At 34.2% G+C, this 15,501-nt stretch overlaps 1 protein-coding gene across 13 annotated transcripts in view; it reads right to left on the bottom strand.

The window, feature by feature from the left end:
• Positions 1–15,501, bottom strand: part of AGL (amylo-alpha-1,6-glucosidase and 4-alpha-glucanotransferase) — a 74,766-nt gene that overhangs the window by 36,448 nt on the left and 22,817 nt on the right. For 10 of the 13 annotated variants that reach the window (XM_005270557.3, NM_000643.3, NM_000644.3 and 7 more), the window contains 13 exons: positions 12,766–12,889; positions 12,320–12,422; positions 12,121–12,218; positions 10,979–11,118; positions 9,748–9,935; positions 7,530–7,653; positions 6,781–6,944; positions 6,399–6,500; positions 6,129–6,284; positions 5,885–6,035; positions 3,332–3,456; positions 3,125–3,237; positions 2,873–3,007 (listed from right to left, as the gene is read on the bottom strand). In XM_005270557.3, the coding sequence (XP_005270614.1) occupies positions 2,873–3,007; positions 3,125–3,237; positions 3,332–3,456; positions 5,885–6,035; positions 6,129–6,284; positions 6,399–6,500; positions 6,781–6,944; positions 7,530–7,653; positions 9,748–9,935; positions 10,979–11,118; positions 12,121–12,218; positions 12,320–12,422; positions 12,766–12,889 (1,723 nt within the window). Of the gene's footprint in view, positions 1–2,872; positions 3,008–3,124; positions 3,238–3,331; positions 3,457–5,884; positions 6,036–6,128; positions 6,285–6,398; positions 6,501–6,780; positions 6,945–7,529; positions 7,654–9,747; positions 9,936–10,978; positions 11,119–12,120; positions 12,219–12,319; positions 12,423–12,765; positions 12,890–15,501 lie in introns of those variants that run through there. The other 3 variants (NM_001425329.1, NM_001425327.1, XM_017000501.3) reach the window with 3 other exon arrangements.

Below are 15,501 nucleotides of genomic sequence, written 5' to 3'. Positions count from 1 at the left end.
TGAGACATCAAGAACTTTTTATGCTAGTTATTGTATACTAAAAATACTTATCAGAGGATGACTAAAGGAATAAAAAGTCAAAGTTAATTGCCTAGGAAATCACATGCTCTCTACCTTCATATTTCTCTCCAAGTCCCTTCCTTTCTCTTCTCTAAGGTTGCACTGCCCCTCAGCTTGTTTATTCAAGAAACCAGGATTTTTCTCAGATTAAGATGCCTCCTGATAACTGTCAGAGGGAAGACTATCATGGCCTTGATTTCCCTTTGTTTGGTTAGCAGTAAGACTGTATAACTGACCACACCTGAATACAGCTGAAACTGTATTTTCTTGTGCTTCTATAATAGATGCTCAGGTAATTTCATTTTACATGACTGCTATTTTATGTGAACACATATCCTCTTGAATGTGTATCTTTCTTTCCCATTTAGTTCTGGCTCAATTTAGAAAATCATTGTCATCTGTGCTTTGTTCTCTCCATATCAGCCTCCCTCCCCAGAGCTAGTTTGTGAGTCAAGCCTGAGTCAAATCACTCAGAAGTCTCAGTATCAACTCCATTCTAGGACAATATTTTTCAATAGCCAGTGGACTCCTTGCCTAAAAATTACCTGGGGATCTTATAAAACTGCAAATTTCTTGGCCTTGCTCCAAAATAATCTGAGCAGGTCTGAGGAGGAACATGCATTTTACAAGCAGTCCATCCAAACACAAAGCTGCTTCATCACAGATTTTTTGGTTAAGAATGCAACTACTTTATTAAGAATAGTTTGAATTAGGAGTTAATATCCTTAACAATAAAAAGTCTTACAAAACAACAAAGAAAGCCGAACACAATAGCAAAATGGGGTAATACATAAAACAACACTTCAACAAATAAATACAAATGGCCAATGAACAAAATAATTTAGCTTAATATTTAAATTACATGAGATGTTATTTTTAACTATTTTATATTTACCAGTTTGATTAGTAACAGCTAACACTTATCAATCACTATGTGTCAAAAACTATTGTGTTTTACTCAAGTAATCTGTAAGAAAGGTGCTATAATTATGTCTATTATAAATTCTCAAAGATCTCTTTTTTTTTTTCTAGAGACAGGGTCTTGCTCTGTTGCCCAGGCTGGAGAGCAGTGGCACAATCATGGCTCATTGCAGCCTAGACCTCCTGGGCTCAACTGATGCTGATGCTGTTACCTCAGCTTCCTGAACAGCTGTGACCACAGGTGCATGCCACAACTTCCAGCTAATTTTTTTAAAACGTTTTGTAGAGATAGGGTCTCACTATGTTGCCCAGGCTGGTCTTGGACTCCTGGGCTCAAGCAATCCTCCCACCTTGGCCTACCAAAGTGCTGAGATTATAGGAGTGAGCCACTGCACTCAGCCAGGTCTTACTTCTTATAGCTAATAAGAGTCTGCAATGGAATTCAAATCCAGTTAGTCTGGTTCTATACTCCATGCCCTTAAACACTACGTTATAATAATATATACTCAGTATTGCTAATGATGGAAACTCTTGGATAGAGCTGAAAGTATTAATTATTATAATCTTTCTGGAGAAAATTTGGCAGTATGTATTAACAGCCTCAAATATATGGATATAGTCTAACCCAATGGTCCTTTTTGGCACCAGGGACTGGTTTCACAGAAGACATTTTTTCACAGACTGGGGGTGAGGGGCGTGGTTTTGGGATGATTCAAGTGCATTACATTTATTGTGTACTTTATTTCTACTATTATTACATTGTAATATATACTGAAATAATTATACAACTCACCATAATGTGGAATCAGTGGGACCCCTAAGCTTGTTTTCCTGCAACTAGACAGTCCCATATGGGGGTGATGGCAAACAGTGGCAGATCATCAGGCATTAGATTCTCATAGGCAGCATGCAATCTAAATCCCTCGCAGGGACAGTTCACAATAGGGTTCACGTCCCTATGAGAATCTAATGCAGCCACTGATCTGACAGGAGGCAGAGTTCAGGTGGTAATGCGAGTGATGGGGTGCAGCTGTAAATACAGATAAAGCTCACCTGCCACTCACCTCCTGCTGTGCGGCCTGGTTCCTAACAGGCCATGGACCAGTACCAGTCTGTGGCCCAGAGGTTGGGGACCCCTCGTCTAACCCAAAACTTCCATTTCTGAAAATATTTATACTAGTACTAATGATGGCAAACTATGAGCATTTACTATGTGCCAGGCATTGTATTAAGTGTTTTATAAGTGTTATCCTATTTAATTCTTACAAAATTTTCCAGATGGGAGACTGAGATGATGAAAGTTCTAAACAATAGATCCAAGATCATACTGACAGTAATGAAGCTAAAGTTAAACCTAGGTCTAAACCTCAAAACCTATATTCTTCTGTAGTATGCAGAAACATCTAGAAAGGGAATAACTAAGGATTCATGTAAAGATGAATGTACAAAGACATAAATAATAGGGAACAATTAGAAGCAATCTAGATGTCCAAAAATGGAAATTGTTTAAATAAATTATGGTAAAGCCATAAAGTAGAATAATATGTTGACATTTTTAAAAAATGATGTGGTAAAGGGTATGAGGTATGCAACTTAGTCTCAAATACTTCAGAGAAATTGTGTGTGTGTGTATACAGAGATGCATGCATGTGTTATGTATGCATGTAGGCATGTGTGTATCTATATCTATAGAGAGAATACACATGCAGGTACACACACAAATTATAAAACAATAGGGTAAAATGTTAACAACAGGTGATGCTGACACTGCTGGTCCTTGGACCGTACTTTGAGTAGCAAGGATATAGAGGACCCTTAAAACTGCTTAATTCAGTCTAGTGGTAACTTACTTATTAAGGTGGCAAATCTCTACCAAACAAGGCATACTTACGAAGCAAAAGGAATTTTTAATATAGGATCTGCATTGTCAACAGCTAGGCTGCCAGATTTAAAGTGAGGACTGAATTGTGTCAGATGATTTCGAAGAATTCCAACAGCGACTTGTGCATGTGGATCAAGACTAACTCTGAAAATGTTAATTAAAAAGTGGTTAATTTTTAGGAGTAATTTATTCAAATTTAACAGGATATGCAAACTATTTTAAATATAAGTAAAGTCAACAGTTTGAGCTCAATTAACATACCTGAATATAATAACACTTCCTGGAGACAAGTTTTCAAATTCTATTTCTTGAATATATTCATTGGGCCCTTTTGTGGCAACTCCAGCTTGTTTAACAATTTTACTTTCATTAAGCTTGAAAAAAAGTACATTAAAAAAATCCATTCAACAAATAGTTCTAATGTTCTTAAAATGCTAAACACAGTAGTAAGATGAGAGTCCCAAATACCTGAATATGTTCTCTAATTTCTACTGTGATATCTGGTGTTCCATTGATTGAATTCTCATCCTTCCTATAAGGTTTCGTGTTTCTCTCAATAGTTCTAGCTTCAAGAACTACTTCTTCAATTTTGCCTAGGAATACATAAAAACATTTTAACAAAATTTCATATGGAATCATCCAAAATTAGGAAGGCTAAAGTGGTTTCAAATCATTTAACTTAAAGTTGAAAACAAATTATCAGTTACTTTTTTTTAGAAGTCTGAAAGTAGATGATTCTACCCAAGGTGTATTTTCACATTTGTAAAAAAAATTACAGCTTAGTTAACAAAGCTTTTTTTGAAGTAGAAACGTATCAAAATAATAGCTTAGCTCTAGGGAACAACTTCCTAATTTTGAGCAGAGAAAAGCAAATCACTTGAAAGGCTTACATTTTTTTAAAACTTGGAATATTTCGGATACAAAAAAAAATTAAAAACCCAAGTTCTACTTCCTCACTTAAACTTTACAAATACAATAAAGCCTCTGTGTACCCATTCTTCACTTTCAGAGGTAACCTCAATTCAGTTTGGTGCTCACTACCCCTGGCATTTTCACTACACATGCCTGTTTCCTTAAACAACATATATTATTTTCCCTATTTCCAAGTTTTATTAAAATGAATTGAAGTTATATATATTTGCAACTTGCTTTTTAGTGGTCAACAATGTATTTTTTAGATTCATTCACACTGCTGCATCAGCTACAGCACATTTACTTCAAATGCCAAATAATATTCTACTGTATGAATATACCAAAATATATCTGTTCTATTAAGGTTGTCTCTAATTTTTCTCTATTATAAATAATGTTGTAATAAATATTCTTGTGCATATCTTCAAATGGAAATATATGAAAGTTTCCCAGATATATACCTAGGGATAGAACTGCAGGGTCAATGGATTATATAAAATTTCAACCTTACTTTAAATAACTTAAGCTTTAAGTCATTAATCTGGCAACAGGTAACAGAACCTTTTGATCTAGAAATTCTACCTCTGTAAATATACACTAAGAAAATTGTTTAAAAGAAAAAACAATTATCCTTACTGTATATTTAACACTTAGTAACACTACTAAACATACTATAGAATATTTAAAAGGGCATAATAACAGAACGTACGAACATTTAACAAAATAAAAATCACAATTTTGCGGACTGAAGTGGAAATGTTTTAAGAATGATCTGTGACCAAAACAAAACCTGAGATAATATTGTACACAGTGATTGTTGTCCTATAAAACTGAATACGTATATTAGCAAAGATCAGATAAGGATAGTGAATATACATTTGTGAACAATTAAAGAAACTTTTAGGTATTCAGGTTGATAATTTTTAAAAACCGGAACTATGCATATTCAGCAACTAGCAACCAATATAGAATATGATGATTTTTATAGGAATTTTCATTTGGTCAATCAATCAACAAACTTTGCCAGCTGCTGCATGAACAGGAGCATGCTATGCTGTAATATGCCACATATAATAGTAAGTAAGACAATAAAATACACCTATCCAGAAAAAAATCAAGTAATATTAAGGACATATCTCAGGGATGTATTTTATAATTTTTGACTCTCTATGCTAGAGGAATACATAGAGACTATAATTGCTACATGTTCAGAAGAATCACTGAACAAAGGAGGTGCAACTTTAGACCTTGAAAGATCCAGACAATTCGCATAGTATTTGGGGAGAAGTAAAAATATCTATTTGGCTGAAATAGTGGACTGACATAGGGCTAGGATGGTGGATGAGAATGGATTATGAAAAGCCTTAAACATAAGGTTATATTATTTTCCATTTTAGTTCGCATGTTTGTATGTATGTTTGTGCATATATACACACAAAGACATTTATACACATATATACATATACACTAACACAAATATACATATTGTTCTGCTAGAAGAGAAATAAATGTTCATTTTACACAAATTAGGAAATAAAATATAAACAAAAATATTTCACAACTCAAAAAATGTTAACATTTGAAAGTATTTCTGTCTAGGTTTTGTTCCATGCAGTAAAAATATAAGTTGCCAAAAATTTCTTTCTTTTTTTTTTTTTTTTTTTGAGATAGGGTCTCACTCTATCACCCAGTAGAGTGCAGTGGTGGGATCTGGACTCAGTGTAACCACTGCCTGCTGGGCTCAAGCGATCCTCCCACCTCAGCTTCAGGAGTAGCCAAGACTACAGGCATGTGCCACCATGCCCATCTAATTTTTTGTACTTTTTTTTTGATAGAGACAGGGTGTTACCATAATGCTGAGACTGGTCTTGAACTCCTGAGCTCAAGTGATCTGCCTGCCTCAGCCTCCTGAGGTGTTGGGATTACTGGTGTGAGCCATCATACCTGGCCAAGTTACCAAAAAGTTTAAATTCTTTTTCTCAAGTACGTCCACAGTAGCACTGTGTTATAATATATATGATATATACATGATATATAACCATAACATTACAGTATAATTTAATATAATAATATAATACAAATACAGTAACAATTTTTAGATTGCATTACCAGGGATGCACATTTGAGGCACTTCCTTGCTGTAAAATGAAGTCTTGGGATTCCTGAAAGCAGTTCTAGATACAGCCACAACAGACTGATGGATGCTAGGTGAGTGTCTTGTTACTGCCACTATGTCTTCATCAACTTGATCCACATACACCTGAGAAGCAGAAAGAACAACTAGATTAGCTCTCAAACTGGAAAGACTTACTCTGAAATTGAACCTGAAGAAACAAATTTAATTATTTCTTGCCTGAATAAAACCCTTGGCTCCAAGCTCCTGATGAAGTTTACTGATAGCACACCTGGCTGCAATAATGCCGCTTTGGAAATTAACTTCACCTGTGTTTGAAGGCAATGCTTCAGGATTCCACTTAGTGTAAAACCGTTCTTCAGAAACCACTGAAATCTGGACAAAGGTAAAATTTAGCATGGATACATCTTAATTACAATGAATTTTTTTTAATAAAAATGCCCAAAGTTGTTGGCCATGTAGGTTTTAAGAAACAACATATAAACAAACCTGATGAGGCACTAATTCATCATAGCCTCTTGTACTTCCACTAGCACAACATGCCATAGAAACAATTGTAGTACTTGGAAGAGCATCATACGCTGATCTATGCTAGAAGACAACAACAACAAAGCAAAAGTTTGCTTTCTTTCAAATGCAAAGTGCTATTCTATAGCATAATGAAGTAAAAGGATAATTACATAAATAAATTCATAAGGTAAATTAATTTGCTTTTAAACAAGTAAAACATTCTGAAAACTATGTATTATAAATCAGTTATAAATCTAAGACACTATTTTGAAGTATATGGGTATGATTGTGACCAAGTGTCAGAGAGTTAAATATCAAAGCATTTAGCAAAATAAGTACATGAAAAAGATTAGGTGCTTACCACAATAGGACACTCATTATCATGCGTAATATCCATAAACAGGGCATGTGCAATAGCTGGCATTAAAGGCCTCAAACAGGGCTGAACAAAGGATCCAACAGGTTCTCCTCCATATCGGTAAACTAATCTGCCCTCTTCATGACTATTATATGCACTCATTGCCTCTGCAGAGCATTACAGAATATTTTAACAATCTTCATTATTTATGTCCAGGAAGAGGTTAGATTTCTTCTCATAAATGATTTTCAAAATAAAGACCACATCAATATTATAAAAAATAAAACTGCTTTAAGGATTTAAACAAATGTCTACTAGTTTAAGTGACAAAAAAGTTTTCCCCATAACTTAACTGGAGAAATGGCTCATGTAAGGAAAAGGGAACATATGTTGTTTACTGGGATGTAAGCTATACAAAATTGATTATAAAACATCTAAACATTACATCATATCTCCCAGTAGAAGATGAAAAACAGGTTTGCATATTTTCAACAACAAAAAATGGTTTTGTTAGTGAGTCTTCAGTTCATCCTACTGGTCTTTCAATTTGAAATGAGGTATCTTACCCCAAAGTAGAAATTTATACTGATAAAAATAGACTGAGTTATATTAGAATATGTCATACAAAGTATTTAGAAGAACATTAACTGTGTTAAAAAATTATTAAGCATTGCATATGAAGCTATTAAATCCTTTAATCTACTTAAACAAAAGCTAAAGTTTTAGAGGGAAATACACTCCAACAAGCCTACCTCTTATTAAGGAACTAATGCCCAGTCTAGTAACAAAGACATTGTCCAGATCTTCACTTCCTGTGAACAGTTCAGCTACTACATATAAATTGGGTTGCAAATTCCTAGCAGCATCCAACATGTACTGTAAAAAGCACAGTGACAAATGTAACAAATAAATGTAACAGAAAGAGAAAAGCAAGATAGGAGGAAGGAAAGAGACAAAAGGAGGCATGATTTGACATAGAAAAATATGCAGCAAGATATCAAACATACCAAAACACATAGAAACAAGAGAATTTATCAAGAGAAGAAAACGGTTAAAAAGGAAGATTAGATTTTGCAAAGATATTGAGACATGAGAGAGGAAAAGAAGAAGAAAAATGTTAGTTTCATATTACTAAATGTAAATCATAACACTACAATTCTGTTAGGTTTTCTCCCTGTTTTTTGTTTGCTTATTTATTTATTTATTTATTTATTGAGACCAAGTTTCGCTCTTGTTGCCCAGGCTGGAGTGCAATGACATGATGTGAGCTCACCACAACCTCCGCCTCCCAGGTTCAAGAAATTCTCCAGCCTCAGCCTCCCGAGTAGCTGGGATTACAGGCACGCACCACCACACCCAGCTAATTTTGTATTTTTAGTAGAGATGGGGTTTCTCCATGTTGGTCAGGCTGGTTGCAAACTCCCAACCTCAGCTGATCTGCCTGCCTGAGCCTAAAAGTGTTGGGATTACAGGCGTGAGCCACCGTGCCTGGGCCTGCTTGCTTATTTTTAAAACTTTAATCAGACTTAATTTCCAGGTGGTTGACTAAATAATTATTCATAAATTCCCTGCTGGTGAATTACTTAGCTGTTGGAAAGATTAGATTTGTCTGACCAGACTGAAGCCAGTTTCTCCTACAGATGATGATAAATAACTCTTAAAAACTCTTACACCTTACAATTTCCACTTGTGTGATTTACGTTTAACACTGGTGCTATCTATCTAGCTGTTTATTATAAACACTGGTTTATAATAAAAAATCAGATTGGTTCCAAACTGTTAAACACAACATTTGCACAAAGATTAATAAAATACTTGAAACTCTATTAGCTAACAAGTAGAATCCTAGATTTTGTAATTTAAAATTAAGTAAATTAAGTTTGAACATTCTTTTCTGCCATGTAACAATCTTAGAAGCATATTTCTTTTTGCTATTGCTAAAAGCACAATAAAATAAAGCCGTCATTTTTTGGAACTAAACAATGTTCTACCAGCTTAACTAATATTCACTAAATCCCTCCAAATCAAATCAATTTTTCATCATAGGACTTGAAATATATATTATAATACTGCTTTAATATTATAGAAATAGACATTTTTTAGGTAAGCACACATTTCCAAAGAACACCTAAGTGACACTGGTCACTAGTAAGGTATCAAAAATCTTATAAGCAGTGCCACTGTAGGGTTTCTAAAAATAACAAAAAAAACTTATAAGCAGGATGAAAATTATGAGTTTAATTACAAAGATTGTATTAGATAGAAGTTAATACTATAAGTATTGGCATTGTTCAGAAGTTATTGTAAAGAGCTCAAAGAGAAATAGACAATGTTTATGTTTACACTTATAATTTTTATAAATAATAAAAATTAAATCGATGAGGCTAGACTGGCTTCAATATGCTATAATGTTAATGTTTATTTTTTATTTAATTTAATTAATTAATTTATTTTTTAGACAGAGTCTCACTCTGTCGCCAGGCTGGAGTGCAGTGGTGTGATCTCGGCTCACTGCAACCTCCACCTCCTGGGTTCAAGTGATTCTCCTGCCTCAGCCGCCCGAGTAGCTGGGACTATAGGCACACACCACTATAATGTGTAATAAGCTATTCACCTTCACAGTCACTTCTAAAATATATTGAAAGCAACCTAAAAATAACAAAAATTAACATTTTATGTATTCACAGTAGCCAATATGATTGCACTCCATATTATCAGAAACGTGATCAACTTCCCTAAATTAAAATTTTAAAATTAGCTAGTTAAATATTTTATAGCCCAGTATTCCATAACAACTGCAAAAGATTGTTAGAATTATGCTAATTATGCAATAGTGATAAATACTACCACCAAATCAATGCTTGTGTCCAACTAGCAAAAGGAAACATTTACCTGCATAGTTTACTTAAGGAAAGCTAGGAAGGAACACTGAATTTCTTTTCTTAATGTAGATAAATTGTTTTTCTGTACCTCAGCTACGTGAAGAGGTGTTGAGTGGCAGTTATCAAGACGTACTCCCTGGAAATAAGTTGCAGTTATTTCAGTGTATTTTTTCATGTGTGCCCAGAGATAAGGACAGTCCTCTGGTTTATTCCCATAGCGTAATTTAACACTGTCTCCCCAGCAAATAAGTTCTCTCCTTAGGTAAACTTCTGAACCTGTTCAGAAAAGAGATTGCTTTCAATGGTTCAAGAAATAAAATGAAAACAATTACTTCAAGGAAACACTGGTTTTTAAATTGCTTTGATCATTTCTGCCATAAATGATATATTGGTTAAATTATATCTAAAGTGGTATGAGATAATGTTTTAAAAAATTAATAATTATTTATTTCTCATAGCTATTCTGAAAAAACTCTAGCTTACAGTCTCTTCTAAAAATTTGTCCTCAATTTCAAAAACCCAAGTCGCATCATAAGGGAAAACAGAAATGTTAATATCATAGGCCTTTTAAAACCATAGTTCTACCAAAAACATTTAAAACTCCATCTCCACCCTCCTACTTATTTTCGGCAACAGGTTGTATTAGATCCATGGCATACAGCAGAATGGCTTGATTTCGTTTAGAATGGCTAGAAAAAAGAGGGCAGAGATACTTACACCCAAATTTATACTCTTAAAAAAAAGCATTAAGATTTCTGAATAAATTTTAATGTCACTAATATAGACTCCTAGTTTCGAAATGTTAAAAAATAAATATATCAATGGGCTCCTGCAACATTCTTCCTGGTAATGAAATAGCTATAGAAACACAAGACACTAAGAGTGAGGGGGGACCTAAAACCATTAGGTTCTGGTTTAATTGCCACTGAAATTCTTAATACCTCTGGCCAATGAGTGAAAATATCTCTTATGTCAATGTAATTGTAATAGCAGTGGTTTCAAACTTGTCTGTAAAAATGCAATAATATTTTGTCCAAATAAAAGCTTATGTAGACCCACAATATAGAAAACAGTACATAAAAGTTATTCTGTTTGAGAAGATAAAAGGTAGGAAGGCAAAGGAGAGGACAGAAGATGAACTTCTTTTTTTGTTGGCTCCATGTTTTCTTTCTCAAATTGTATGTATCTCTGGTACCTTTATGGTGAAATATTTAAAAACCAATAGACTAATGGGGAAGAAAATCAGTAAAGCAGATTTTATTTTGACCTTGCCATGAACTATTCTTTCCCCATCCACAGAGAAGTTAAAAATTACATACCCGGTTCAGCAAAGTTTCGAAGAGGATCATCTCCCATTACCCATCCATTGTGTGCCATCAGAAAACAAGCTTTATTTGGCAGATGAATCATAGATTCTTCCATGGAGAAGTCTATCTCTTCAAATGGGAAAGTAAAATACCTATGAAAATATAATTAAATATTAAATCCATACAAAGAAACTCCTTGGAGAGAATATAAATTTGCAATATTAAAACTAAACTTCTTTTCTAATGAATAGAATAAAATAAGTTTGATGCTATTTATAGGAAAAAAACTTCAATATAGGTCAAAAATCTTCATTAGGCTTTTTGAGTAAATCTAGCAGGATGTGAGAAATAGGGAGTTAACATGACAGCATATCTGGCTAACAGTTTAAACAATTTTTAAAACTTCATAAAATTATTTTAAAAAATCATTGAGGCAGCTGGGCATGGTGGCTCATGCCTGTAATCCTAGAACTTTCGGAGGCCGAGGCAGGGGGATTACCTGAGGTCAGGAGTTTGAGACCAGCCTGGCCAACATGGGGAAACCCCGTCTCTACTAAAACTACAAAAATTAGCTGGGCATGGTGGTGCACCTCTGTAGTCCTGGCTACTTGGGAGGCTGAGGCAGGAGAATCGCTTGAACCCTGGAGGCGGAGGTTGCAATGAGCTGAGATCGTGCCACTGCACTCCAGCCTGGGTGACAGAACAAGACTCCATCTCAAAGAAAAAAAATAAATACATAATTGAGGCATTGATGTTACTTTGCAAAGATATTTTTAAAAAAGACTCTAAGTAAAGATATGCAAAGGCTTTTACTGCACTCTAGTTGCCCAACCTATGCTTTATGTCACTTACAAAGTAAGGAGCCAGATGCTTGCTTAATTTGATTAATATTGAATTTATTACTAAGTATGCAGTCCTCCAGAAACATTAAATAATAACTATGAATTGGTTTATACTGATGACAGTTTCTCTAACAAAATATTTGCCTAACAAAATTAGTTAATATTAAGCCTATGTCCAAATCAAAACTTCTATTTCAATTTAAGAAATGTACTGAACTCACATGTTAAAGAAAACATTTAGGTTAATTTCAAAAGTTAAATACAATTTTCAGTTTTCAACCATCAATAAGAAAAAAAACAAAAATGCAACACCTGGTAACTAAAGGATGCTTTCTAGTGACAGGTCCTAGTTTTGGACCATGGCCAGCCAGTCGTTCATAAAACACATTTCCCAAAAGGCAATTAACTGCCTGAAAAACATTAAATTGTGTTAGATCATCACCATCCTCAAGACAACAAAAAAATAGTAGTAAGATGCAAGGAAAAGCAGCAGTTCAAAAATAAGTAAAACCTGTTCCTGATGATAGTTAATGAGTCGATGCTTCTCTGAATTTAATTCCTCCATTCTTTTATGAAACCAATTACAGCATTCTTCAATTGCTGCTGGCCCCTTGCTAGAGCAGATGGAGAAATGCAGATATAATATTTAATGGCTTTACAGATTCTACATTTAAAAACTTTCTAACAAAGGTCACAGAAACCTTAAATATATTCATCGGGATTTCAATTATGGCTGATGATGTTTTCCAATTGTAAAAATGTTTATATACACATATAGAAACATGGCCCACACACAGAAAAAGTGGGAAAATGTCATGTGCTGAAATAGTAGAATTACAGTGAATTACTTTATTTCATTTTCTATTAAGCGTTTTTAATAAGTAGTATGAAAATCATACTAGCCATAAAGGTTTGTAAGTAATATTATTATTTCACAGAAAAAAACACATTACATACTCATGTGGTATGAAAGTCGTTAGTGCAATGTTCATATCTACAGTACAGCCAAACCGTCTGTATTCAGGATCTTGAATAATCGTAAGGTGTTGGTTTGGATCAGACTTGGTTACTCGCCTATTTTCTAAAAGAAAGAAAAGACGATACCTTAAATGCAAATATCTACAAAGAGATTATAACTGTCACTATTTTCTAATTTTTGGCCTATAATTTTTTCACTGAAAATAAAACAAATATTTATTTCACAGGTATCCTCCTACCTCCTCCCCTTCTCATCCTGCTGTGTGCACGTGTGTGCACGTGCGTGCACGCGCAAACACACACGAGGGGTGTGGGGGAGAAAGAAACAGAGACAAAAATAACATAAAAGAAAGACACAAGGATTCCTATCAATTCAATCTCAGCCCCCACTTTTCTGCCTACATCAGCATTCACTTATTCTATTCTTTTTTTATTTTTTTATATATATATTTTATTATACTTTAAGTTCTAGGGTACATGTGCACAACTTGCAGGTTTGTTATACATGTATACATGTACCTTTTTTTTTTTTAAACACTTTAAGGACTTTAGTGGAACCCGTTTTCCTCCCCGGTGCTACCAAATATTCTAACCTCAGGAGTTCTTTTTCAAGATTGCTTTCAAAGTTTGCTTCCTGAAGTCTTATTAACAACCTGACTTTCTTTGAATTCTCTAAAAGAAGCACACAGGTTTAATACTTTTTTTCCCTTTTCATCAACCATATTCCTTAGATAATAACTTAAAAATTAAAAAGGAAATAAATGGTTTTTGGGGAAATTTTCACTCTTTTTCTGGAACTTGTTTGTAATAAAATTAAGAACTGGTACAGGATTGCCTCCATTGAACTTGATTTTATATTAACTAATTAATTTGTGTCTGGCTTATTCTAAAGAGACTTTGAAATGACTTATAAAAACACGAACAAAAAAACAAAATAATGGGTTTCATAGTGTAGTGGTTATTCACGTTAGCCTCACAAAACAGCATAAAATACAAATCAATTCTTAAAATCCAGTTTCTAAGGTTCATCTGGAAGAGTAAATATATGAAAACTGCCGCCGGGCATGGTGGCTTGCACCTGTAATCCCAGCATTTTGGGAGGCTGAGGTGGGTGGATCACCTGAGGTCAAGAGATCGAGACCAGCCTGACCAACATTGAGAAACTCCATCTCTACTAAAAATACAGAATTAGCTGGGTGTGGTGGCACATGCCTGTAATCCCAGCTACTCGGGAGGCTGAGGCAGGAGAATCGCTTGAACCCAGGAAGCGGAGGTTGTGGTGAGTGGAGATTACACCACTGCACTTTAGCCTAGGCGACAAGAGTGAAACTCTGTCTCAAAAAAAAAAAAAAAAAAGAACACTGCCAAGAAATGTTTGAAAAAGAGAAAAAGCTATGCCATCAGTATAAACTAATAATCTTTAGTATTGATAGAATAAAAGAGACGGATCAGTGGAAGAGCACAGATAACAGATGTATATTTTGTATATTACCATACACTATGAAGTATTATGGTGGTACTTCAAATCAGTATAAAAGGATGGATTTTCAACTCAATATAATTTTAAAAATACAAATCAAGTTAAATATCTTCTTTATATAATACACAAAAATAAATTTCAGGTATATTAAATATTCAAATGTAAAAATACAAATTAGAAGAAAAGAGAATGTTGATGGAAGGTCTTTTCTAAGCATGATATGAAATTGGAAGCCATCAGAGATTGAAAAGTTTGACTACATTGAAAAAAAATGTCACCATAAACAAGAGTTAAAAGATCAAGAGCATACTAGGGGATATATTTGAGGCCTGTGTAATAATCAATAATGTCGATATAAAAAAAGAGACAACTCAATAGAAAAATGAGAAGAAACATTAACAGGCAATTAATGGAAGAAATATAAATAGCTAATCAAGGTGTAAAAATATACTTCATTAATAAGCAAAGAAATGTAACTTAAAAGGCTGGGCGCGGTGGCTCACGCCTGTAATCCCAGTACTTTGGGAGGCTGAGGCAGGCAGATCACGAGGTCAAGAGATCGAGACCATCCTGGCCAACATGGTGAAACCCCGTCTCTACTAAAAATACAAAAATTAGCTGGGTGTGGTGGTGCATGCATGTAGTTTCAGCTACTTGGGAGGCTGAGGCAGGAGAATCACTTGAACCTGGGAGGCAGAGGTTGCAGTGAGCCAAGATCACACCACTGCACTCTAGCCTGGTGACAGAGTGAGACTCAGTCTCAAAAAAAAAAAAAGAAATGTAAATTAAAATAAGGTATGTTTTGCCTAATTGACAAACATGATAAAGGTTAATGATATCTAATGTTAGTGATAATATTAAGTTGGTATAACTTGCTGTGAAAATAAATTTATTATATTTGAAATCTGTATACCCTTTGACTCAATAATTCCATGTTTAACAATGTATCCTTCAGATTGACTCACATAAGCAAGTAAACATAAGGTGTACGGGGATGTATTTTCTGCAGTACAGCTTATGAGACTGGAAGTTTATCCAGGGAAAGGACTTTGTTCTGTTTACCACTGAATCCTCATGTCTAGCACACAGTAGTAGGTGGTTCAATGAATATGCATTGAATGAATGAATGAAAAATGAAAAAACTGGAAACAACCTATCAAAAAGGCTAAATAAATTCAAGTACTTTAAAAATAGCATATTGCTATACAGAGGTTAAAAGAAATAATTAGCTATAA

Source organism: Homo sapiens, chromosome 1 (genome assembly GCF_000001405.40).
Source record: "Homo sapiens chromosome 1, GRCh38.p14 Primary Assembly".
NCBI classification, from domain to species: Eukaryota; Metazoa; Chordata; class Mammalia; order Primates; family Hominidae; genus Homo; species Homo sapiens.
This window is presented reverse-complemented; position numbering and strand designations above follow the sequence as displayed.